This window comes from Homo sapiens, chromosome 3 (assembly GCF_000001405.40).
Source record: "Homo sapiens chromosome 3, GRCh38.p14 Primary Assembly".
Taxonomy (NCBI): Eukaryota; Metazoa; Chordata; class Mammalia; order Primates; family Hominidae; genus Homo; species Homo sapiens.
This window is the reverse complement of record NC_000003.12, coordinates 52,450,918-52,475,652: the sequence shown is the minus strand read 5'-3', so window position 1 is coordinate 52,475,652 and position 24,735 is coordinate 52,450,918. Positions and strand designations below refer to the sequence as shown.

Below are 24,735 nucleotides of genomic sequence, written 5' to 3'. Positions count from 1 at the left end.
GCCCAGACTGGTCTCAAACTCCTGGGCTCAAGTGATCCTCCTGCCTTGGCCTCCCAAAGTGCTGGGATTATAGGTGCAAGCCACTGCTACTGGCCAGCCAACCGTCTTTTCTAGCTTCTCAGAGGCTGAAGGTGAGAATTCAGTTTCCAGGCAGCTGTGCTTTCCAAGCTGATGATGTGGTCCTCACTGTGGACACCAGGCCTTTAAAACCATTATTTCACAGGAATAAAGTCAGACAATGCTAAGATAAGGGGAGTAGCACAAAGCCCAGAGACCATCAAAATGGAGAAAGGCAGGCCTATTTGTTTTGACAAGACCTTTCTTCTCACAATGGGTCGCCCTGGGCTCCTTCAGCAAGACAGTGAGAAGTGCTCGGAGAGGGACCAGGTGGCCCAACACACTCTCTGCAAGCCTCAAGAGGAAAATTTTTCACCAAATCCAATTTTTTTTTTTTTTTTTTAAGAGACAAGGTCTCCCTATGTTGCCCAGGTTGGTCTCCAACTCCTAGGCTCAAGGAATCCTCCTGCCTTGGCCTCCCAAAATGCCGGGATTACAGGCATGAGCCACCACACCTGGCCCAAACCTAAGTCTTGATCAGGAACCTTAAGTCATAATATTAGCCACTACATGCCTTTTCTATACCCAGGGAAAGATTTTAACATTAGCAAGATGTAATCCATAAAAAGGTAAACAGAAACATTCCCAATTTGAATGTTTCTGCTGCTCACATATAAACAACATGGCCTAGCATTTCCACAACCTCACCTTCTAATCAAGCCGTGGGGAAAAAGATACAAATGAGTGCTTAGCCAGGGATTGCTAAAGCTTAGAGGAGCAATCTAAGCTTAGTTATCAATCTAATTAATAAAGGTCCCGCCACTTGCCACAGCTTAGCAATTTGTTCATTAAAAAACCAATGACGGCCGGCTGAAGTGGCTCATGCCTGTAATCCCAGCACTTTGGGAGGCTGAGGCTGGTGGATCACTTGAGGTCAGGAGTTCGAGATCAGCCTGGCCAACGTGGTAAAACCCTGTCTCTACTAAAAATACAAAACCTAGGCCGGGCGCGGTGGCTCACGCCTGTAATCCCAGCACTTTGGGAGGCCGAGGCGGGTGGATCACGAGGTCAGGAGATCGAGACCATCCTGGCTAACATGGTGAAACCCCGTCTCTACTAAAAATACAAAAAATTAGCTGGGTGTGGTGGCGGGCACCTGTAGTCCCAGCTACTTGGGAGGCTGAGGCAGGAGAATGGCGTGAACCCGGGAGGCAGAGCTTGCAGTGAGCCAAGATCGCGCCACTGCACTCCAGCCTGGGTGACAGAGCAAAACTCTGTCTCAAAAAACAACAACAACAACAACAAAAAACAAAACTTAGCGGGGCATGGTGGCAGGCACCTGTAATCCCAGCTACTTGGGAGGCTGAGGTAGGAGAATCGCTTGACCCCAGGAGGTAGAGGTTGCAGGGAGCTGAGATCATACCACTGTACTCCAGTCTGGGCCACAGAGCAAGACTCTAGCTCAAAACAAAAACAAAACAACACAAAAACACCAATGACATTTTTTATTTTTTGGGGAAAGAAGCCAAGTTCCTTAAAATGTCCTGTTAACAACACGAACTTTTTATGCAGATGTGAACTAAAGTGTCCCAGGGGCTGTCAAGTGCTGGGAGGCCCCCCATGAGTGTCTGCCTACCCCACAGAAGGTCCAGCCTCTGAATACTGATAGACATAGCAGTGTCCTCACCCATCCTTAGTGGTGGAGACCACAGCCCAGGACCCTGATCCACAGACATTGCCCCAGGCAGGATATAGGTGAAGCTTACCTTCATCGAGGTTGCTGAGAAGCGGACACTCAGCGTGGCTAAGGTGGGCTTCGATGCGACCAGCCCTCTGATGTGCTTAGCATCACAGTGACTTATCTGGAACAAAGAACAGCTGCATCTCAGAAACAGAATCCTTGCTCCGTCAGAAGTCCCCAGATGCAGGTGTTTCCTACCCCCATACAAAAGCACAATGACAGGCAACCCAAATCCTCAGAGATGGGAGGCCACTCAAGACCAAAGTGTCTCTTTTTCCCAGTGTCAGTGCCGACCAAACATTCCCTGAAGTATCTAGTAAGAAAGGTGCCTGGCCCCTCAGACTCACAATGGACCACAAATTCCATTTCCTCTGTAAGGGCTGCCTGGGGCTTGGCAGGTGAACATAAAGTGTGGGTCATGGAAACTGCTGGGGAGAACAAGGGGCCTCCACAGCACAGCGAGTGGGGTGGATCCTCCTGTTCACCCAGCCCCCACTCCATGGAACTGAGCTGTCTTGTGGTGAGGAGGGGCAGGCCACAGGTCAAAGCACACTCCCCAAGCCACCTGCCCAAGCACACCCAAGACCCAGATCCAGAGCCTCAGCCTGCTTGGCAGGGCTGGGTCGGGTTTCCCCTTCACTTCCCTGTCCTCAATCGGCAGCAGGGCACACCACAAGTTTCCCTAGACCACTGTAGACGGAACAGCCCAGTGCACAGCAGAGGCTCTGGAGGCAGTCTCAGCTGAATTCAAATCCCAGGTTTCCGCTCATTAACTGTGTGGCCCTGGCCAAACTTCCTTATCTGCCCAAGCCTCAGTTTCCCCAACTGTAAAATGGAAATAAAAGTGCCCTCTTCACGGGGCTGTTGGGAAGATTCAATCAAGGAGACATGGGGCCACAGGGCAGAACACAAAAGCCATGCTCAAAAAATTATGCTTTAAAACTTTTTTTGTATTCATTACTGACTTTTCTTTTCAAAAATGCTAAAATTGGCATCGCAAACCAAAGAGTCCAGTAGTGACAGATGCAGAGTGTTTCTTGTGTGGGTGCCCCAGAGGGCAGGGCATCTTCAAAGCTCTTTGCCAATCGGCCTTGGGAAATACAGACTTGTATTTAGTTCTGTCTGACCCCCAGGATGACTTCCCAGGACTTGAACTTGAGGTACACATGCCCCCTGCCCCTATGAGGAGTCCTAGAATGAGCCAGGTGCTGGTGCTCCACCCTGGCTAACCGCCCCTGCAGCTCACGCCAGGGAAGGTGTGTGCAGACCAGCCAGGGACAGGAGAGGCCTCTCTTTCTCCGCCTTCAGAGGGCCTGGTCACCTACGCAGAACCTGTCACATACTGCCAAACACGAAAGCACAGCACCTTATGATTAAATTAGGACACCCAACATCACAAACACTCTCTAGCCTCTGAGTTGGGAGCGAGAGGATGCTGTGCAGCGCTGGGCCTTACCTCCACCTGATGCAGGGACTTGAATATTGATAGGTCGAACGGCAGGAGCTGCTCCTGAATGTTGCTGGTCCCAAAAGGTCCTTCTGTGCCAGAAACCTGAAGCCAAAGATAAGGCTTAAATTGGGAACAGTGTCGCATGCCCATCGGGGAGTGCTGCAGCAGCTGACAAGTTGAAGACAACTTTGACCACTTCTGTCTTCAACAAAGCAGGCTCAGGCCAGGACTTAATTTAACGGGACACTGGGTCACGACCGCCCCCTGGTGCCCACAGCCAGAAGCATAGTGCCAAGAATAACCGGGCGGCCTTCCTTCCACCAACAGTCCCCCATGGTCTCCTTCACACAAACTGCCAGCCAGTCCCCCGCAGGTTGCACCCCCACCGACTGCGGGGCTCTCCATGACTGAGCTGCTGCAGCTTTACCTTAAGGTACTTAAGGCGACAGGTGAAGTCCAGGATGTGCCCGAGGTCGGTCTTGGCATCCCCACTGGCGCACGTGGGCTTTCCCTGCTGCAGCTGCTCCGTGACGGCATACAGCTGCAGGGGTCCAATGGCAAAGACCTCGCCGGCCCCCAGGAGCTGTTCTCCTGCAAGAGCCATGCCCTGAAGGATAAGTGTCCAGCCGCAGCCCCAGCCCTCGTGCAGCCAGGATTTCCACCTTTTCTGTCAACAAGCAGTTGGCAAGCACCCACTGTGTCAGGGCAAAGCCAGCGCCCTGGGCATGCAGGAGCTGCTGCCCTCCTGGGTGCCTGCTAGGCACAGGGCAACCCTAGACATGTGATGACAGAGGAGGGCAGGGCTGTGGGGCTGTGAGGCTGGGGAGCCACTGAGGGAGGAGTGAGGCCGAGTCGAGACCAAAGGCACTGGGCCAGAGTGAGGCTGCGGAGAGGGACAGCATTCTGGGTGACACACCTATGCTGCAACCTCCGAAATGCAAACACCCAGGTCAGGCGCAGGCCTATGGTGCCAGCGTGGTGCAGAGCCTGGAAGCAGGATGGGTTCTGAGCCCAACTGACTGCTGCTTGGTCCTCGCTCCACTCCTCCCAGCCATGTGCCCTCAGGCTGGTGACTGGGCCGCTGACCCCGTATCCTTCCCTATACCTGTGGCTCCTGGGGGAAGGCAGTAAGATGCAAACAGGAAGCATTCATCACACATGAGCTACTATAACTGTGCTCTCTGGCAGGGATGGGACCCAGGGTCAGCTTCTATCTGCCATCTGAGCCCTTTCAGGTAAGCACAAACCAGGTGCGAGGGAGCAGTGTGCTACCCACCTTCCAGCACCCACCACAGCGCTTTGGAACACAGCCCAAGTCTGGGCTGAGCCCCTGACATGGTACTCAAGAGTACTGAAGGACCACAGCTCCTCAGACCTGGCCACCTACAGGGGAGGTAGGTGGGCTCCAGAGTGACTTCTATGCCATCCTGTGCCTCTGGCCGCCTCATAAAACTACACAACTTATGCTCAGTATTTCAGGGACATGTGGCCACATACCTTTCTCAAAGAGCTCTTCAGCCAGTGCCGCGGTGATGCCATTTATCTCCTGCAGAGAACACAAAATTTGCCCTTAGAAAGTCCACCTGACCCCAGTCCCTGGGGTCACATTCCCCGCTATCTATCCCCTCTGTTGTGCCAGTGCCATCTCTCTAGGAAGTTAAACTAAAGAAAGGAGGGCATAAACCTACAATGAAGCAAGAAGCTTAGAAAGGGAAACTAAGTATTCTAGTTATGTGGATACCTGAAATGTCTCCTCCAAAGCAGAAGGGAAATCAGCCTAATGCTGCGACTCCAGTCCATAGGGCCAAGGGCACTGTAGCCCAGGAGGCCAGCAGAGCTGCATTACTCTAAGGGCTTTTGGGAAGCCAGCAGCTCCCAAAACTGGCTCTGGGTGTTCCTAGGAGAGGGTGTGGCAGAGAGAAAAGTCCTGTTTTTTCTGGAAGAGAGGCTCTTATCACCCTGGTGGGATGAAGGACCACCCAGAGCTAACCCTCCCTGGGAATGACCATTTCCACTTCCTCTCACGTTTCAAATGTGTCTCAGGAAAAGAGTGAACACTTGTTTTCTTCTTGTGTTCATCCCTTCCAGATTCACAACAGTAACACTCAGCCCCAGGGTCCCAAGAAAGAAGCGGGAAGGATTTCCTTTTTAAATGATGTGATGAAGGGCAGGACAAGGCCAAGCCCCCAGTCATACAAACAACACGCTTGGATCCTAATTCATACTGGGTCATGCCCTGAGCCACTGAAGGCTCCTGAATCCTCCCAACATCCTACAAGAGGAAAAGCGATAACTGCTTTTTTTTTTTTTTTTTTTAAATAGAGACAGGGTCTTGCTCTGTCACTCAGGCTGGAGTGCAATGGTATGACCATAGCTCACTGCAGCTTGGAACTCCTGGGCCCAAGTAATCCTCCTGCCTCAACCTCCCAAGTAGCTGGGACTATAGGTGTGCATCAGCACAACCTGCTTTTTTTTTTTTTTTTCTTTTTTGAGACGGAGTCTTGCTCTGTTGCCCAGGCTAGAGTGCAGTGGTGTAATCTCGGCTCACCGCCACCTCTGCCTCCCAGGTTCAAGAGATTCTCCTGCCTCAGCCTCCCAAGTAGTTGGTAGTACAGGCATGTGCCAAGATGCCCAGCTAATTCCTGCATTTTTAGTAGAGACAGGGTTTCACCATGTTGGCCAGGCTGATCTCAAACTCCTGTCCTCAAGTTATCCACCCTGCCTCAGCCACCCAAAGTGCCAGGATTACAGGCATGAGCCACTGCCCCTAGCCAACCAACTAATTTTTAAGAAAATATTTTGTAGAGACAGGGTCTCACTATGTTGCCCAGGGTGGTCTTGAACTTCTGGCCTCAAGAGATCCCCCCACCTCGGCCTCCCAAGTTGTTGGGATTGCAGGTGTGAACCACTGCACCCAGCAACGGAAGCTTCTATCTTGAGCTCCGTTTCACAAATGAACAACCTGAGGTGGACAAGCGCCGACACCCTCAATTTTACATGGCTAAAAACCAGCAAAGCCACACTCAAGCCCTTGGCCTTGGGCCTCTGCATATGAAACCCGTTGCCTCAGCAGTTCAGTGTAATAACTGTGGGGTTGGCAGTGCCCCCAAGGCCCTCAGCCCCCCACCCCCACATCCCACAGGTAGGAATTTTAACTCATCGACAGATGGCAGCCAACAGGCCTTTTCGTAAACAGCTCCAGATGGAGGCTGCATAATCCTCATAACTCACAGGAACATTGGGAACATCGCTTCCACCAGGACAAGCAATTCACGTGTTTATGGGATTCTAAAGACACAGGAGACAGGGTGTCCTTTTCCTGTTTTTCTCTTGGGTTGTTTGTCTCTTTCTTATCTTTTATACACTGTGGCCATTTTAATGGTGGTTTATATGTTGTAAACATTTCCTCCCAGTCTGCATATACCTTTTACCTTTGTTCATGGTGCTTTTTCTGACAGAGGTTTTTCATTTTTACATTGTTTAACCTCTAATTTTTTTTTATCCTTCATGACTTCTTGGGCCTCTTCTCTCACTCCACAATTATAAAAATATTCTCTTAATTTTCTTTTGGTTCTTTAAAAAATGTGTTTATTCATTTAATCTGCTTGAAATTCAGTTTATATACAGCACGAGAATAACTCCTCCCTGTATCCCGTGGACAAAAAGCAAAGGGAGCAAAATGAGCACACAGAGCCACAGCTTTAAGGGACCGGCAGGGTGCAGGGCCGAATGGAAAAGGGCAAGGAGAGGGGCACGGCAGGCACAGAGCAGGACAGGGCTCCGGCTGGAAGTGAGGGCAGAGGTGGTGGGTGTGCTCTGAAGTTCAACTTCAGTCTCTTGCAACCACATAAGCTAAATGACATTTTCCTTGGCAGCTGTGAAGAACTGAAGATTAGGAAGAGCCTCCACGGATGGTTTTGAAAACCACGCCCCGTCTACAGATCTGTACTTCGCAATCCTCCCTGCTGTCAGATCGCCTGGAGCCAAGCAGGTCCCAGGGGCTGCCAATCTCTGCCCACCTCAATTCCCCAAGAATAGCTCCAGGGCCTCTCAGGACACAAGGCTCTTACAGTTATCTCAGGAGAAAGGGTTCCCCACGATCAGTACTGAACAAACCTCATTTTCAACGGCACACTTCTTTTTTTTGAGACGGGGTCTCGCTCTGTCTCCCAGGCTGGAGTGCAGTGGCGTGATCCTGGCTCACTGCACCCTCCACCTCCTGGGTTCAAGTGATTCTCCTGCCTCAGCCTCCTGAGTAGCTAGGATCACAGGCCTGCACCACCACACCCGGCTAATTTTTGTATTTTTAGTAGAGATGGGTTTCACCATGTTAGCCAGGCTGGTCTTGAACTCTTGACCTCAAGTGATCCGCCTACCTTGGCCTCCCAAAGTGCTGGGATTACAGGCGTGAGCCACCACGCTCGGCCAATGGCACATTTCTTCAAGTAGCTGGTGTCAGCTCAGAAAGAACACAGAGAAAAAAAATCACCCTGGGCTAGGCATGTAGTCCCAGCTACTTGGGAGGCTGAGGCAGAAGGATCACTTGAGCCCCTAAGTTCAGAGTCGAGCCTGGGCAACACAGCAAGACCCTGTCTCTCTAAAAGAAAAATGAAATCACCTTCCTGGATGACAGCCCCTCTAAGGGGATAGGGCTGGAATTTCTGGAACACATGGAAAGTTGAGAGAAAGTAAGGGCCACCGGCTCCTGCTAAGCAAAGAGAAAGCTTTCACTTCTAAGGAATCTCAAAGCAATTTGTGTAACAATTTTGCTCTTTAGGGCACAGAAGTACATACTGCTGCAACACTTTCTACTTGGTTTTCCAGGCTGTTTTTCACCTTGGGAGGGAGACTGAACCAGAGAAGAGCACAGAAATGCCTCAGCCCCCAAACCTAGCACATGGGCCTCCTCAGAGAGTTCGCTGGTCAAACGGTGGGCTCATGAGTAAAGGTGGGCAGAGTCAGGCCTCCCCACGCCAGGAGGAGGCGGGGTGGGGTGTGAGTGGCCCGAGCCCACATGCCCTACCCCATCTGTGCTGAAGGGACTTGAATTGCTTTGGGGTGCCATAAATGTCTGAATTGAAATGTATTTTTTTGAAGGACATTCTCGGCTGGGCACCATGGCTCACCCATCATCCCAGCCCTTTGGGAGGCCGAGGCGGGCGGATCACTTGAGGTCAGGAGTTCAAGACCAGCCTGGCCAACATGGTGAAACCCCGTCTCTACTAAAAATACAAAAATTAGCCAGGCATGGTGGCACATGCCTGTACTACCAGCTACTCTGGAGTCTGAGGCAGGAGAATCACTTGAACCCAGGAGGTGGAGGTTGCAGTGAGCCGAGATTGCATCATTGCACTCCAGCCTGGGCAACAAGAGTGAGACTCTGTCTCAAAAAAAAAAAAAAAAAAGAAAAAGAAACTTAGTGTCAGCTATGTTTACAAACTGTTAACACTCACCCTCCCAGTGTGTTACTGACCAAGAGATCAGCCGCACCACCTGCCCACCACCTGCCGGGATTCTGTGTTGGTGTGTAGCCGTGGGCAAAGGTTTGAGCTTCATGTAAACACTAGCTGGGCTGTGGTCCTGCAACTTAAATTCTCACTAAGAATGCCTGCGCACATGCCCTGCAACCAAGTATACTTCAAAACACATACACCTACACTCAATGCAAACCCCAGGCCAGGCCTAGATGCTTCGGCTTGGCACACACCCAGGCAGCGTGCTTATCTGTGGGGCACTAACCAGCGAGTGAATTACATGTCACTGAGGCCATCCCCAAGTGTGGCTGAGACACACATGCTAAGAGCTGGAATCCTTGTCTCACTATTTTTTTTTTTTTTTTTTGAGATGGAGTCTTGCCCTGTCACCCATGCTGAGTGCAATGGCGCGATCTCGGCTCACTACAACCTCCGCCTCCTGGGTTCAAGCAATTCTCCTGCCTGAGTCTCTGGAGTAGCTGGGATTACAGGTGGGTGCCACCATGCCTGGCTAATTTTTTGTATCTTTAGTGAAGAAGGGGTTTCACCATGTTGGCCAGGCTGGTCTTGAACTCCTGACCTTGTGATCCATCTGCCTCAGCCTCCCAAAGTGCTGGGATTACAGGCGTGAGTCACCATGCCCGGCCCTCCTCGTCTCACTTTAATTTATGTTGGTATGAGGCATTCTAGCAGGAGTCAGGCATAATATGTGTGATTCAACTTTAAGCTAAAATTCCCCATTGATGGATTCAAACCTCAGCTTTAACTGAAGAGAGTTGCAAGACTGTAAGTTCAAAAGAAAATCTGTTGTAATTCACAGCCTCAGTACTTTGCAACTAAAACAAATTATGGAAATAAATTGGATGCTAAAGCCAATGCTAAGATTGTAACAGTTCAACATAGCCCCTGATTCCAAATTTTGAAAAGGATCTTTGTTCTAGCCAACTAACTTTAAAAGAAGACAACAATATAAACACCTTTCAAGAGAAATGAATTCCTTTTCTTTCCCGAACCACCTAGTAATGGCTAGCACATGGTCAGCCCTAACCTCAGGCCCAACACTCTTCTAAGCCATTGACCTTCACTGCACAGTCTCTTGCAGGCCTCACAAGGACCCCAGCTCACCAGCCTCCAGCTCACAGGCAGGTTAAATGACTGACTTGGACTAAACCGTTGGGAAGTAGGGGTGGGAGATAAACTCGCCTCTGCCTGCCTCCAAGTCCACCACAGTTGGAGGTCCCGGCCCACATGGTGTGCTAGAATTCCGGATGGGATTCCATTTCACTGAGTTTGGAAACCTCTGTTCCAGGGGTTCTGGGATGAGGCCTGTCACCACGCGTCCAGGAGGGTCAGGACACAGCAATCTGAAGAGCAGCATAGCAACAGGCCAGTGCCACAGTGTGCCCCTCACTCATACAGGCGGCAACCCCTGCGCTCCCACCTAAAGTGGGCTGGTAAACAAGTAGTGCTTTCTTTCCTTGTTATTAAAATCCACACTGCAGGCTGGGTGTGGTGGCTCACGCCTGTAAACCGAGCGCTTTGGGAGGCCGAGGTGGGTGGATCACTTGAGCCCAGGAGTTCGAGACCAGCCTGGGCAACATGGAGAAACCCCATCTCCACAAAAAGTACAAAAATTAGCCAAGTACGGTGGCATATGCCTGTAGTCCCAGCTACTTGGGGGGTTGAGGTGGGAGGAGTGCTTGAGCCTGGGAGGTTGAGGCTGCAGTGAGCCGAGATGGTGCCACTGCACTCCAGCCTAGGCAATAGAGCAAGACCCTGTCTCAAAAAACAAACAAAATCCATACAGGAATATATTGTTATAAATCTTTGTGACCTTGGATTGGGCAATGGTTTCTCATGTATGATACCAAAACACAAGTGACCAAAGAAATTGATAAATTGAACTTAATCAAAATCTAAATCTTTTGTGCTTCAATGAAGACCATCAAGAAAATGAAAAGATGGCCGGGCATGGTGGCTTACGCCTGTTATCCCATCAATTTGGGAGGCTGAGGCAGGTGGATCACCTAAGGTCAGGAGTTCGAGACCAGCCTGGCCAACATAGTAAAACCCTGTCTCTACTAAAAATAGAAAAATTAGCTGGGCAGGCCGGATGTGGTGGCTCAGGCTGTAATGCCGGCACTTTGGGAGGCTGAGACAGGTGTATCACCTAAGGTCAGGAGTTCAAGACCAGCCTGGCCAACATGGTAAAACCCCATCTCTACTAAAAATACAAAAATCAGCCAGACGTGGTTGCGTACGCCTGTAGTCCCAGCTACTTGGGAGGCCGAGGCACGAGAATCGCTTGAACCCCAGGGGTGGAGGTTGCAGTGAGTCGAGATCACGCCACTATACTCCAGCTTGGGCAACAGAGCAAGAATCTGTCTCAAAAAAAAAAAAAAAAAAAAAAAAAGACAACTCACAGAATGTGAAAAAGTATTTGCATGTTTCTAAAAGTCTAGTAGCCAGAATATATAAAGAACTCTTACAACTCAACAACAAAGATAATCTGTTTTTTTTGTTTTTTTTGTTTTTTTAGACAGTCTTACTCTGTCACCCAGGCTGGAGTGCAGTGGTGTGGTCTCACTCATTGCAATCTTCGCCTCTCAGATTTAAGCCATTCTTGTGCGTCAGCCTCCCGAGGAGCTGAGATTACAGGCACACACCACCATGCCCGGCTAATTTCTGTATTTTTAGTAGAGACAGGGTTTCTCCATGTTGGCCAGGCTGGTCTCGAACTCCAGGCCTCAAGTGATCCGCCCACCTCAGCCTTCCAAAGTGCTGGGATTACAGGCATGAGCCACCCGCGCCCGGCCCAATCTGATTTTTAAAAAGACAAAGAATTGGATACTTTTCTCCAAAGAAAATACACAAATGGCCAAATATCATATGAAAAGAGGCTCAGGCCAGGTGTGGTGGCTCACACCTGTAATCTCAGCACTTTGGGAGGCCAAGGTGGGCGAATCACTTGAGGCCAGAAGTTCGAGACCATCCTGGCCGACATGGTGAAACCCCGTCTCTAATGAAAAAAATACAAAAATTAGCCAGGCGTGGTGGTGCACGCCTGTAGTCCCAGCTACTCGGGAGGCTGAGGCACGAGAATCGCTTGAACCCAGGAGACAGAGGTTGCAGTGAGCCGGGATCACATGCCTGCACCCCAGCCTGTGCGACAGAGCGAGACTCTGTCTCAGAAAAAAAAAAAAAAAAAAAAAAAAAGAGGTTCAATAACATTAGTCATTAGGGAAATGTAAATTAAAACCACAATGAGATACCACTTCACACCCACCAGAACAACTAAGATTTAAAAAAAAATGGACAAGAAGTGTTAAGCAAGAATGTGGGGAAATTAGAACCTATACACTGCCGATGGAAACGTCAAATGGTGCAACAACTGTGGAGAACAATTTGTTAGTTTCTCAAAAAGTCAAACATAGTTACCATATAACTCAGGTTCCACTTTTGGCTATATATCCAACAAAAATGAAAACATAAGTTCACACAAAAATTAACATACAAATGCTCATAGCAGCATCATTTGCAATGGCCAAAAATGGAAACAAACCTAACATCCATCAACTGCTAATAAATAAACATAATGTGGCATATCCAAATAATACACTATTACTCCGTCATAAAAGGACCAATGGATTCATGCTACAATATGAACGGACCTTGAAAAGATAAGGCTAAATGAAAGAAGCCAGTCACAAAAGGCCACACACTGTATGATTCTATTTATATGAAATGTCCAGAACAGGCAAATCCATAAGGACAGAAAGTAGATTAGTGACTGCCAGGGGCTGGGGGACAGAGGGATGGGAAGCTCCTGCTAACAGGTACAGGTTCCTTTTTGGGCTGATGAAATGTTCTGGAATTAGATAGTGGTGATGGTCGCTCAACTTTGTGAATATACTAAAAACTACTGAATTGTACACATTAAAAAGTTAATTTTATGGTATGTAAATTATATCTCAATTTTTAAAAATCCACACCATGGCCAGGCGTGGTGGCTCATGCCTGTAATCCCAGCACTTTGGGAGGCTGAGGCAGGTGGATCACGAGGTCAAGCGTTTGAGACCAGCCTCACCAACATAGTGAAACCCCGTCTCTACTAAAAATACAAAAAATTAGCTGGGTGTGGTGGCGGGCCATCTGTAATCCCAGCTACTCGGGAGGCTGAGGCAGGAGAATCACTTGAACCTGGGAGGTGGAGGTTGCAGTGAGCCGAGATCGTACCACTGCACTCCAGCCTGGCCAGTAAGAACGAAACTCCGTCTCAAAAAATAAAAATAAAAAAATTCACACCATAGCCAAATAGGGTTCCCTGGGTCCACCCTATCCAATGTCAGCAACACAAGAGGCAGAACACATGTGGAACAATTTCAGAGAGGATACAGACAGTATAAAAGTTAAGAGAAACATTCCCCAGAGAGCTCCCAGCCTGGAGAAAAGGCTGACAAATCTTTAGGCCCCAAATGAAGATCTAATCCAGTGGTTTTCAAGTGGGGGGCAATTTTGCCCCCCAGTGGGACATTTGGCAATGTCTGGAGACATCTTTAGTTGCCATAGCTGGGTGGGGAAGTGCTACTGGCATCCAGTGGGTAGAAGCCAGGGTGCTGCTAAACAATGCATGGGACAGCTCCTTACAGAAACAAATTATCCAGTCCAAAATGTCAACAGTGCTATGGCTGATCAACTGTGGGTTTAATCCAACGATGGGTTCAATTGCTTTTTTAAATCCTAGGATTTATATAACCTAGGGACCTGTTTGATAATACTAATTCCAAATATGTCAAAACTTCTACAAGTAGCGGAGCCTGCCTCAAACCAGAACCAGATGTAGCCGGCCCCAGGCACATCTCAGGCAAACCAGTTTCAAAAGAGCAGTCCAGGCCTTTCCACCCTCAGAGCCAGGCACACGTGAGGCAGCCAGCGAGACCTCCTCTCCTCAAAGGCATAGGTCTCAAGCAAGGAATTAATACCGTCAAAGGACTGCATGTCAGGTTTCATCCCTAAATGGCTAACCAAAGCTTTCTTAAAATACAATATTTCTTTTTTTTTTTTTTTTGTGACGGAGTCTTGCTCTGTCGCCCAGGCTAGAGTGCAGTGACACGATCTTGGCTCACTGCAAGCTCTGCCTCCCGGGTTCACGCCATTCTCCTGCCTCAGCCTCCCGAGTAGCTAGGACTACAGGAGCCCACCACCATGCCTGGCTAATTTTTTGTATTTTTAGTAGAGACGGGGTTTCACCGTGTTAGCCAGGATGGTCTCGATCTCCTGACCTCGTGATCCACCCGCCTCGGCCTCCCAAAGTGCTGGGATTACAGGCGTGAGCCACTGCGCCCGGCCTTTAAAGTACATTATTTCTTAAAATACTAACCAGTAAAGTTTATCTGAAAGACTTGCATAAGGAATGCAAATTTTTTCTCACATAAGAAAGTATAAAAATATGTTTACGAAAGGGTATGTTGCTAACCCTATACTTGCTGGTATATGCTAAATAAAATCCAAAGCATATACACAGGTCCCATCTGTGAATGCTATCTACTTTTCCACCTGTCCCTGCCAAGCTCAGTGGCCCCAGGTTAGCACTCGCCACCAAATTTCTAGGCTCTTTAGTGATCCAAGAAAGGTTCAACTGTCTTACTCTGAAAAGAGTTTAAGGAAGTTGTTTCTTCTGTTTTTGTTTTTTTCTTTGAGACAGAGTCTCTGTGGCCCATGCTGAAGTGCAGTGGCATAACCTCGGCTCACTGCAACCTCCCCTTCCCAGGTTCAAGCGACTCTCATGCCTCTCTCCTGAGTAGCTGGGACTACAGGCATGAGTCACCACGCGCAGCTAATTTTTGTATTTTTAGTAGCGACAGGGTTTCGCTATGTTGGCCAGGCTGGTCTCGAACTCCTGGCCTCAAGTGATCTGCCTGTCTGGGCCTTCCCAAAGTGCTGGGATTACAGGCGTGAGCCACTGCACCTGGCCAAGAAAGTTGTATTTTAAATACAGCTGGGCTTTTAGGACCATAATCCACAGGTTACTTCAAGGTGAGCCTGAAAAGGGAGTGGATTCTTCCCTGTCTTCATCATATAAAAGGAAAACAAGTAAATATAAATTATCTGAAAATCTATCACTCAGAGAAAACTACTCTTAGCATTTTGGTATACGTAAACCTTCTAGAATTTTCCTAGACAAATATGTCCATATCAACTTGTTTTTTGTAAAAATGAGACCATAGTCAGCCAGGTGCAGTGGCTCACACCTACAGTCTAAGCACTTTGAGAGGCAGAGGTGGGAGGATGGCTTGAGTTCGAGTTTGAGGCCAACCTGAGCAATACTGCAAGACCCCATCTCTACAAAAAAATTTTTAAAATTAGCTGGGTGTGGTGGCATGCACCTGTAGTTCCAGCTACTTGGGAAGTTGAGGCAGGAAGATCCCTTGAGCCCAGGAGTTTGAGGTTGCAGTGACCCATGATCAGGCCACTGTCCTCCAGCCTGAGCAATGGAGTGAGACCCTGTCTCAAAAAAAAAAAAAAAAAAATAGTACAGCCATACAGTTGGATACTGCTTAAGAAAGTTGCATTTTTTTTGAGACAGTGTCTGCTGGGAAGACTGGTGTGCTGCTGGGATAATGATGGTGGAGCTGCAGATTTCTTTTTTGTTTTATTTTCCCAAAGAGCTGGGATCACAGGCATGAGCCACTGTGCTCAGCCTGGCTGTACCCTTTGATTTTTTTTTTTTTTTTTTTTTTTTTTGAGATGAAGTCTTACTCTCACTCTGTTGCCCAGGCTGGAGTGCAGTGACATGATCTCGACTTACTGCAACCTCTGCTTCTTGGGTTCAAGCGATTCTCCTGCCTCAGCCTCCCAAATAGCTGGGATTACAGGCATCTGCCACCATACCCAGCTAATTTTTGTATTCTTAGTAGAGACAGGGTTTCACCATGTTAGCCAGGATGGTCTTGAACTCCTGACCTCAAGTGATCTGCCCACCTCAGCCTCTCAAAGTGCTGGGATTACAGGCATGAGCCACTGCACCTGGCCTGATTTTTTTTTTTTAACCTCTTCTACTAGACTTTAGGGTTGTCCTTACTATTTTGTTACAATCCTGGAATGACTACCTTTGTTCATATATCCTTTTTGCGGCTGCCTGATTTTTCCTTAGAAGAAATTCTCATAAATAGAACTGCTATTTAATATTGTGGTTTTGGCCAGGTGCGGTGGCACACGCCTGTAATCCCAGCACTTTGGGAGGCTGAGGCAGGCAGATCACTTGAGGTCAGGAGTTCCAGACCAGTCTGGCCAACATGGTGAAACCCCATCTCTACTAAAAATACAAAAATTAGCTGGGTGTGGTGGTGCAAGTCTGTAGTCCCAGCTACTCGGGAGGCTGAGGCAGGAGAATTGCTTGAACCCAAGAGGCGGAGGTTGTAGTGAGCCGAGATCGCACCACTGCACTCCAGCCTAGGTGACAGAGCAAGACTCCGTCTCAAAAGCACAAATATTGTGGTTTCACACTGCCTAAGTGCCCTTCTTAAAGTCTGACAACGCATTCTGTCACCGGCAACCTATGAAAGTTGTTCCTCTTTCAAGGACGGAGTACAGAGCTGTTCTATGACACACTCTCCCATCACAGGAAGGTGTCCACCCTCAACCTTAGCACCCTGGCAGCGCGGACCCTGATGACACGCCCCAAGATGGTGATATTCCACCATCACAGACTAATCCCTTAATTAGTTTTGGGCTATGCACCAACAACTCAACAATAGTCTATCCCAGGTGTCAGCTATTTCTAATCCAGCCTCATCCATCTGGATGGAAACCTAGCTTAAACACCCACAGGCCATTTTTGCTAAACAAAATGCCTTGTGGTGGAGGAAAGCATCTCTGTGGCCACATTTAGTCTAATTTACGGCAAATCTGTCAACTAACATGCTTCTGGCCACAATGCATTCCTAACCAGGGTGACGTTCCTCCATCTTCTAACCTAGGGTCAAACCCCAGCCCACCTCAAAGCTGAGGTCTCCCCTGGTTTGCTGCCTCAAGTTTGGCAGTTGTGGGTTTGCAGGCACAGGTGAAAACCCGATGAGGAACTTACATAGAAGTGAAAATGCAAGAAGTGGGCCAGTACTCTGGGGGTCACGCCAGGGAAGGCAGCCAGGAGCTTCTGGAGGTAGACCTCCAGATCCTTCTCCCTCTTCTCCACCAAGCTTCTTGAGTTTTTCCCAATTATCTTTTTGGGCGGAAGCAGATTTTTATCAATCTTTCTCTCTGCAACGAGCTGTAAAAAAACATAAGCACATCAACCACAGACTAAGAGGCTCTGTGCCTATGTAAGACCAAGGCAAGAAGCTTGAGGGCAGGCGCTTGTCAGCACTTGCACAGCCCCTCCCTGCAGTAGTACCAAAATCAGTGACCAAACTAGTGCACCTGGGATTTGGCCTCTTTAAATCCAATTAGCATTAGAAATACCAATACAATTCTAGACAAGGAATTCCATCTGGAGACTTTAGAGACATTCAGAAAAGTAACACCTTTTGCCCCTAAAATTGCCATCTTTTCCAAGCCAGAGTAAAAACCAATCAGGGCAGCGGTGTGTCTTTAAAACAGTTATGCTGCAAATGACCCAGAGAAAGACAGCATCTCCAAAAGCAAAAAAAAGAGATGGAATCACAGCCAGATATTAAAGTAAGGCTTTGGAATAGCTATCGCTAGATCAAACAAGTTCAAACCTGTCCCCTTCCCAGGAAACTGTCTGAGCATCTCATACCCAAGCTAGGACTGGAAATATTAAAACTGAAATTCAAATATGCTCCTTGCAGAGTGGCTCATGCTAGAGCTGAAGGCTAGCATTTACATGCTATATTAATGAACGCAGTTATATTAACAAAGTGGTTTATTAAAGAACTATAGAGATGGAACCTGTTTTGCCCTAAAACTAATATGTGGCACAATGGAAAGTTGGCCTACGGGTCCCCCAGCCCTGAGATACGTGCTCCCAGCTCTTAACAGTTACCTTTTCATGCAGGTCATGGAAGTCGCTGTAGCGGTGCTTTACTGTCCACTCATGGCTGCCATCAGTGACCTGGATGATGTAAACCTAAAAGGGGAAACCAACAGCCCTTGTGGCAAGGGAGCCCAGCAACAAGGAGTCTCCTCCCCCAGCAGCAAAAGCTGCAATTATCTTTCCCAATTATCTTTTATCAGTCTTTCTCTCTGCAACTCAGACCCACCCCAAGGCCAAAGTCAGGCTGCCCTTGCCCACCAGCCTCTGCACCTGACCCTTGCTGACCAGCAGGGCCCCTCTCAGCTTCCTCCATGGCCCAAGCACTAGGGCTGGGAGGCACATGAGACAAGCATGTGGCTCCATCCATCAGTAAGGAATGAAAAAGGTGATTACCACAAGTCACCTCTTTAGTTTTTTACCTCCTGCCTCTAGGTAACTCAAAACCCAACCGGAGCTGCAGGCAAGGCCATTTCTTCCAAGGGAGGCAGAGCAGGGCCAGTTCTAGCCTGAGCATCTTCTCTGTTGTACTTCTTTCCAGGTGCCCTGACTACCTCCTGGAAGCAAGTCATTTTCCAACCCTTTCAACTGGTTCATGGCTGTGATTTCTGCTGCTGAGCCAGGAATCAAGGCACAAGCAGCTGATGTGGGGAGGGAGTGGTAGCAACTAAGCTCTATCAGGAGGCAATATGGCCTAGAGGTTAAGGAAGGCCTGGGTTAAAAACCTGGTTCTGCCATTTCCTGGCTGCAGCTTATGTGTCACTTATATAAGTAACTTGGAGCCTAAGTTCTCTCTGAGCCTTAGTTCCTCCATCTTAGAATCAAGGACCAAGTAAGGCAATGCATGTAAAATGCTTTGTACATGGGCCTGACCCATGGCAAGTGTTCAAAAGGTAGGTGTGTTAATAATGTCCAACTCGGCACACCCGGAGACAGAGGATGGTAGGGTCCAAACTAGATCACCACCTCCCCCGACATACATGCAGAGGAGGGGCGCAGTCCAGAATAGGGTGAGCTTTTTGAAGATGGCCCTCTGGCTGAATGTGCCCATAGCTGATGGCCAGTCAGCCATCAGCTTAGAGACCTCACCCGCCTCCTGCACCTAGTTTCCCCCTCCTCTCTGCAGCATGGAGCTGAAGCCTCCTCCAGCCCTGAGGAGCAGCCATTTCTCCAGGCTGGCCTGTTGCTTCAAGATCCACCCCTCTCCTCTTCCCATCCTGCCTGATTCCTTCCCCTTGCCTTCAGGAAAGGAGAAAAGAGCCAGAAGAATGGCCCTCAGAGCGGAAGGTTAGGATGAGGGCCAGGGAGGGGAGGTGCAGGCAGGCCCAAGGCCCCCACCCACTCCCTACCCTGCGGGAACAAAGGGGAGGAGGCAGGGAGGTGCTCTATGCCTAGTCCAGGGCCGGTTTTTGCCAGGCAGCCCACCAGGCTCACAGGCCTGGCATCCAACCCCGTCAAAGTCGGGAACTACCCGCTATTTGTCCTCTGTCTCCCCCATAGCTTAGAAGTGTGTGTGGGCAGCTTGTTGCCCCATCTCGCTCCCACAGCCCAAAGTCACGAAGATTCCTAAGGCTTATAGGGCCTGCGCTTTAGCACTGAGACCACCCCCATTTCTCCATAGATGGGCTCCACCCCTCCTCCGGTCTTGTCTCCGCCCGACCCCCAAGGCATCTGCTCCCCAGGTCTCTCCTGCACTTCTCAGAGAAAATCTCAACCACCACCTCAGGCTCCCCAGATCAGGGTCCTGACGCCTTCTCTTTCTTCAAGGCCTGCGAAGCCTGACCCTTTTCCCTGATTCCATCCATCAGAGACCCTCTCCCCATCGCCTTCCTCCTGGACCCCTGTAACGGTCTTCCAGGCCGGGGCCCCTCCAGTCCTAGAGGATCTAGAGGGGTTCCGCCTCATCTAGACACCCCCCTCCCCAAGCCCCCTTTATCCCCAGATGCCGCCCCCAACCCGAGCCTCCCTTTCTGATCGCGTACCCTTTTCCAAACCGCCTCCCCGGGCCCCGAGCAACCCTTCTCCCGGACCTGCGGGGCCCAGATCCCTTTCCTAGATCCCCCGTCCCAGCCCCCTCCTCGCAATCGCAGACCCTTCTACCCGCTCCTCGGGGCTGCAGATCCCGGACCCCTCCCCAAGCCCCCGAGTCGGACTCCCGGTTCCAGCCACCACCCCCGCTTCGGGTGCCCGCGCCCCCAACACACCGTATAAGTGTCCACAAGCTCCGAGCCCACGACGCGCGCTTCCTTGGCCGGCTCGGCTTCCCGCTCGGGCCCGAAGGTGCGCGCGGTCGCCATGTTCGGGTCTCCGCCGCCACCGCCGCCCGGCGCAGACTAGCAGCAGCAGGGGGCGGGGTCAACGTCCCACCGCCCCCCGGCCCCCGCCGCCCGTCGCCCCCGCCGCGCGCTGCGCCGCCATCTTGGCCCCGCCTTCTTCCTGCGCCCTCGCCCCGCCCCCGCGCGTGACTGACAGGGGCCACTCAGGGCGCGCGTGCGAGGTGCTCGCTTGCGTAATCTACCTGCGTGGCGCCGCCGGCGGTACCCTGCACAGCCTGCTAGAAACTGAGACCCCGGGTGGTGACAGCTCTGGGCATCGCCCCTGGGTCCTCGGGAAGAGGGGACAGAAGGTCCCGAGTCTCCCAGGCCACACGAAGCAAGTCACTGCTCTTCCTGGCCTCAGTTTACTCCTCCTGATAAAGGAGGCCATAATAGTGCCTCACCTGGCTGTTGGGCTCTTTCTCTTTAGGGCAAGGCAGGTTGGAGGGGAAAATAGGACCTGTGCTTACCGCCGGAGCAGGGCGAGAGTGATTCTGGGCCAGTTCTGAACCTCTCTGAGATTCGGAGATCTCTTGTCAGTGGGGCTTCTGGACAACTGAGTGGGTTGATTGATGCGCGGCCCAGCACGCAGTAGTGCTCGAGGCAGGGAGCGTGTTTATCAAGAGGGATAAACTTGATACGAACTCTGTACGAAGGAAGGTGTAGGTGGATGGAGGGGTGTGTGCTGCCACTGAGCACAAGAACCCCACGGGGTGGCCTGCCAAAGTTCAAAACGAGGGAGACAGGTTGATCTGGACCCAGGAACTACAGTGCTGAATCCTAAACCGGGGAAAGATGAGACCTAGAAGAGGGAGGTGGTAACCTAATTGGAGGGTGAGGAGGGAAAGAGCCTGCCACAGATGGGGCATCTATAGGGGTGCTGTTGAATAACTGAGAGCAGCTGACTTAAGCCCGAAGTGGGTACTTCTCCCTGGGCAGATGGGAGGTCTGGGACAGGCTCCTCTGGCAGAAGGGCTCCTGGCCACCCTGTCCTAAGGTGGGTCAGTCACTTCCTCCTTCACCAGTTCCACAGCATCTTACTATGAGCTTGGCATTCGAGGCTTCTCTTGGCAGGGCCCTGCACTCCTAGCCTCTCCTTGCACATTGCACCCCCATTCCAGAGAGGTTTAGTTAAAGGCGGGGGTTACCAAGTCAGTCAGATCTTGGGCAAGTCACCACTCCTCCAGAGCCTCAGTTTCCTTATCTGGAAAGTGGAGGTCATGGCAACCCGCCAACCTGGTTGGATGGGAGCCTGAGCTGTTGTGTTGCACCTTGCCTGGGGCCCACGACTTTGTAGCTCCTGTCCTGCACTGGGCTTATGTTTTCATTCATTCCAGAAACCTTTTCAGAGAGTCCCTTTGGGGAGTGTGGGGGACAGGAGGGAAAGAAACCTGGTCCTTGTAGCCGTTCGTCTGCTCCCTGCCCTGGGCAGAGGACGTGGGGACTCAGGCCAGCCTGAGATCACTGGGACCAGAGGAGGGGCTGGAGGATACTACACGCAGGGGTGGGCTGGGCTGGGCTGGGCTGGGCCAGGAATGCAGCGGGGCAGGGCTATTTAAGTCAAGGGCCGGCTGGCAACCCCAGCAAGCTGTCCTGTGAGCCGCCAGCATGGATGACATCTACAAGGCTGCGGTGAGGGACAGGGCTGGGTAGGGCTGGGGTGGGCAGGCCCACTGGGGGCTCACTCAGCTGAGAGTGCGGGGTTAGTAGCCCCAGGGAAGTGGTGGGGACCAAGGAGAAGGCCTACGTGCCTTCAACCCAGGCCCTCACAGGGACAGTGATTCTGGTGTTTGAGGATGCAGAAGGGGTAGGGGGTTCCGGGTCTGAAGGGTGGTGGAGGAGGTTGCAGCTTTCAGCATCGTGTCTCACTCTCTGTTTCCAAGTGTCTGTGGTCTGTGGCACTGTCGCTCAGCCACATGTCTCTGCATTTGTCTCTGGACGTTTTTGCCTTTCTCTTTTCATCTCTTCCTCCTGAGCTGTCTGAGTCCCCATTACTGTCTCCCTGTCCCCAACCCCCATTTCTGCCCCTCACATTCTGCTTCTCACATGCTCAAAATCTGCCACCCCACTCCAGCCCCTTGGCGGGCCGAAGATGCTTTGGAGGGTGGAGGGTGTGAGAGGAGGGGTCTGTAGAGCCTGAGTCCTGGGCTGGAGATGGGGCTTTGAAGTTTGAGGCAGGGAAGTTCTGGACATGAGGGAGAACCAAGGAAGAAGGAACAGAGAACTGGGGCCCCAGCTCCCATCATGCCTGGCAGGCTCAGGGCTCAGTGGCTTAGCTAGGGGTGAGAGCGAGGGAATGAGGGCTGGAGAGTGGTCACCCCAAGCCCCTGCAACCTCCTGGGTCACTGAGGGTCTTCAGATGCTATTCTATCCTGGGTGGTGGTGACCTCCCCCAACCCCAGAGCAAGGACATCCTGGCATGGCCAGCTGTCCCCAGGGGAACCCCTCCCTCAGCCTCCCTCACTCCTGGGCAGGGAAGTGCTATAGCCAGCTCTGGGGGCACGCCTGCTTATCCTGTGGGAGTCCATGGAGCCGGGGTTGGGACAGCCCTCCACCCAGTGCCCATACAAGGCCTGGCGGAGTTGGGGACTAATTTTGGCTTCTGAGGCGGCACTAGCAGGCCAGGGGGCCAGATAACGCTGCCCCACCCCCTGCATGCCAAAGTCCCCAGAACAATCACCAGGTTTAACTTTGTTCCTCGTTAAAAATAGCCCAGTGGCCACCCTGGTCAGGTTACCGTGGGTGGCTTGCCTGCCTCCACACTGGTTTTATTATCCCAACTTGAGGGACAGCTGTCCTTCGGGCCACCCAGCTTGAGTTTCATCAGGGGCCGAAAGGGCATTGAGTGGTCACTGACTATTGTTACTGAGGGTCACCTTGGTCCTGAAGGGGGTGCCCACCTGTCACCCTGGCCCTGAGCCCAGTCGCAGTGAGGCCAGCTGGGTCACGTCAGGGCTTTGGGGGCAGGGAGGGAGGACTGAGACCTCCACTCTGTGGCCTGGAAATAGCCTGCCTCCTCCAGCTCCAGCCTTCTCACCTGTGGAATGGGTTGGTTTCCTCAGCAGCAGCTATACCTGAGTCTGAGCCTTGAGATTCCCTTTCCTTTCTAGGTAGAGCAGCTGACAGAAGAGCAGAAAAATGGTGAGAATCCCTATCACACATGTGGGAGACCAGCGGGTCCAGGCTGGCATGGGGACCCCTTATCAGAAGAGGACCCCAGGCCAGAGACCAGAGGCTTGGTCCCTCTTGCTCTGCCCTCAGAGAGGTCTCCGAGGGAGGTGGGCAGGTTGGCAGGTGGCCCCAGGGTTCTGGCCCTCCGTGGTCCTGGCTGCTGAGCCCTGACTACTGTGCCCCCCAACCCCTGAACACAGAGTTCAAGGCAGCCTTCGACATCTTCGTGCTGGGCGCTGAGGATGGCTGCATCAGCACCAAGGAGCTGGGCAAGGTGATGAGGATGCTGGGCCAGAACCCCACCCCTGAGGAGCTGCAGGAGATGATCGATGAGGTGGACGAGGACGGTGAGCCCCCTCCTCCCCAGGCTCCAGAAGAACCCCAGCTGGCTGGGGGCTGGAATGCTGGCTCTGTTTAGCTGGGAGCAATTTAGCCTATCCGAGCCTTGGTTGCCTCATCTATAAAATGGGCATAAGGGCTACACAAGCCTGGCGTTTGGTGTGAGGATGCGGTGAGAACATGGGGGTTCGTGTCGAAGGTGCTGCCTGCAGTACCTACCCTGGCCTCTGTAACGGCCATGCTGCCCACCCCCAGGCAGCGGCACGGTGGACTTTGATGAGTTCCTGGTCATGATGGTTCGGTGCATGAAGGACGACAGCAAAGGGAAATCTGAGGAGGAGCTGTCTGACCTCTTCCGCATGTTTGACAAGTGAGCACGTGACCCTTGACCTCTGACCCTGACCCACACTCAAGCCGAGCTGTACAGGAGGGCAGTCTCAGATTCCAGGCCTAGGGACCCTGTGGCCTCTGCCTGATAGGGGAGAGGGATGCCCCATCTCCCAGTGTCCCTGCTCTGCCTCCTGGGGCATGGGTGGGGCTGCCTCATGCCCTCCCCACAGCCCTACCCTGAGCCCCCTCCCCACAGAAATGCTGATGGCTACATCGACCTGGATGAGCTGAAGATAATGCTGCAGGCTACAGGCGAGACCATCACGGAGGACGACATCGAGGAGCTCATGAAGGACGGAGACAAGAACAACGACGGCCGCATCGACTATGATGGTAAGCGGGTGGGTGGGCTGATCTCCTGCCTCCATGCCCTGCCCAGCCCCTACCCTCAACCCACACCTGCCCCTCTTTCCACAGAGTTCCTGGAGTTCATGAAGGGTGTGGAGTAGATGCTGACCTTCACCCAGAGCTGCCTATGCCCAGCCTCCAACTCCAGCTGAGTCCTGGGGTTGGGGAGGGGGTCGGGGTCCCAGGACCTGAGCCTGGCCATGTCCTCAACCCCAAATCCCCCGACTCCCTCCCCAGATCTGTCCTGGGGGATGCAAATAAAGCCTGCTCTCCCAAGGTCTGCTATCTGGCTCTGGTGTCCCTGGGCCGTGGACTCATCCCCAGGACCCACTCTTACCCAATGGCCGCTTCCTTCCCTGTCCTAGGCAGGCTGGCTGCAGAGCCTGGCGCCTGACCACCGCTCCACACTGCCTTCTGCAGGGGGGTGAGATGAGATCGGAGACTGCCGTGTGGCCTGC

The 24,735-nt window shown here is 51.5% G+C and overlaps 2 protein-coding genes across 5 annotated transcripts in view, besides 4 other annotated features; one reads left to right on the top strand and one right to left on the bottom strand.

The window, feature by feature from the left end:
* Positions 1-20,049, bottom strand: part of NISCH (nischarin) — a 37,465-nt gene extending 17,416 nt beyond the window's left edge. For all 4 annotated transcript variants that reach the window (NM_007184.4, XM_047447373.1, NM_001276293.2 and 1 more), the window contains exons 1-7: positions 19,919-20,049; positions 17,727-17,810; positions 16,809-16,991; positions 4,746-4,794; positions 3,676-3,839; positions 3,255-3,350; positions 1,824-1,919 (exon numbers count right to left, since the gene is read on the bottom strand). In NM_007184.4, the coding sequence (NP_009115.3) occupies positions 1,824-1,919; positions 3,255-3,350; positions 3,676-3,839; positions 4,746-4,794; positions 16,809-16,991; positions 17,727-17,810; positions 19,919-20,011 (765 nt within the window). In that variant the 5' untranslated portion in view covers positions 20,012-20,049. The remainder of the gene's footprint in view (positions 1-1,823; positions 1,920-3,254; positions 3,351-3,675; positions 3,840-4,745; positions 4,795-16,808; positions 16,992-17,726; positions 17,811-19,918) is intronic.
* Positions 3,919-4,419: an enhancer, noted in NCBI's record as "H3K4me1 hESC enhancer chr3:52505250-52505750 (GRCh37/hg19 assembly coordinates)". NCBI's record gives its function as "activates a minimal SCP1, AML or CMV promoter by ChIP-STARR-seq in naive H9 embryonic stem cells {active_cell/tissue: H9 hESC(naive)}" and the evidence as "EXISTENCE:reporter gene assay evidence [ECO:0000049][PMID:30033119]".
* Positions 18,395-19,070: an enhancer, noted in NCBI's record as "H3K27ac-H3K4me1 hESC enhancer chr3:52490599-52491274 (GRCh37/hg19 assembly coordinates)". NCBI's record gives its function as "activates a minimal SCP1, AML or CMV promoter by ChIP-STARR-seq in primed H9 embryonic stem cells {active_cell/tissue: H9 hESC(primed)}" and the evidence as "EXISTENCE:reporter gene assay evidence [ECO:0000049][PMID:30033119]".
* Positions 19,895-20,124: a silencer, noted in NCBI's record as "silent region_14444". NCBI's record gives its function as "represses an Ori minimal core promoter by ATAC-STARR-seq in GM12878 lymphoblastoid cells {active_cell/tissue: GM12878}" and the evidence as "EXISTENCE:reporter gene assay evidence [ECO:0000049][PMID:35858748]".
* On the top strand, positions 21,612-24,553 carry TNNC1 (troponin C1, slow skeletal and cardiac type). Its single transcript, NM_003280.3, has 6 exons — positions 21,612-21,661; positions 23,140-23,170; positions 23,401-23,547; positions 23,795-23,909; positions 24,126-24,262; positions 24,347-24,553. Exons 1-6 carry the CDS (start codon positions 21,638-21,640, stop codon positions 24,376-24,378), a joined length of 486 nt encoding a protein of 161 aa, NP_003271.1. The 5' UTR covers positions 21,612-21,637; the 3' UTR covers positions 24,379-24,553.
* Positions 22,750-23,570: an enhancer, noted in NCBI's record as "H3K4me1 hESC enhancer chr3:52486099-52486919 (GRCh37/hg19 assembly coordinates)". NCBI's record gives its function as "activates a minimal SCP1, AML or CMV promoter by ChIP-STARR-seq in primed H9 embryonic stem cells {active_cell/tissue: H9 hESC(primed)}" and the evidence as "EXISTENCE:reporter gene assay evidence [ECO:0000049][PMID:30033119]".

Bases quoted from the DNA above. Each gene is read 5' to 3' on its own strand.
- TNNC1 (NM_003280.3), top strand. From the start codon at position 21,638: ATGGATGACATCTACAAGGCTGCG. The intron at 23,171-23,400 runs GTGAGAATCCCT...CCCTGAACACAG, and splicing joins GACAGAAGAGCAGAAAAATG to AGTTCAAGGCAGCCTTCGAC. The intron at 24,263-24,346 runs GTAAGCGGGTGG...CTCTTTCCACAG, and splicing joins CGGCCGCATCGACTATGATG to AGTTCCTGGAGTTCATGAAG.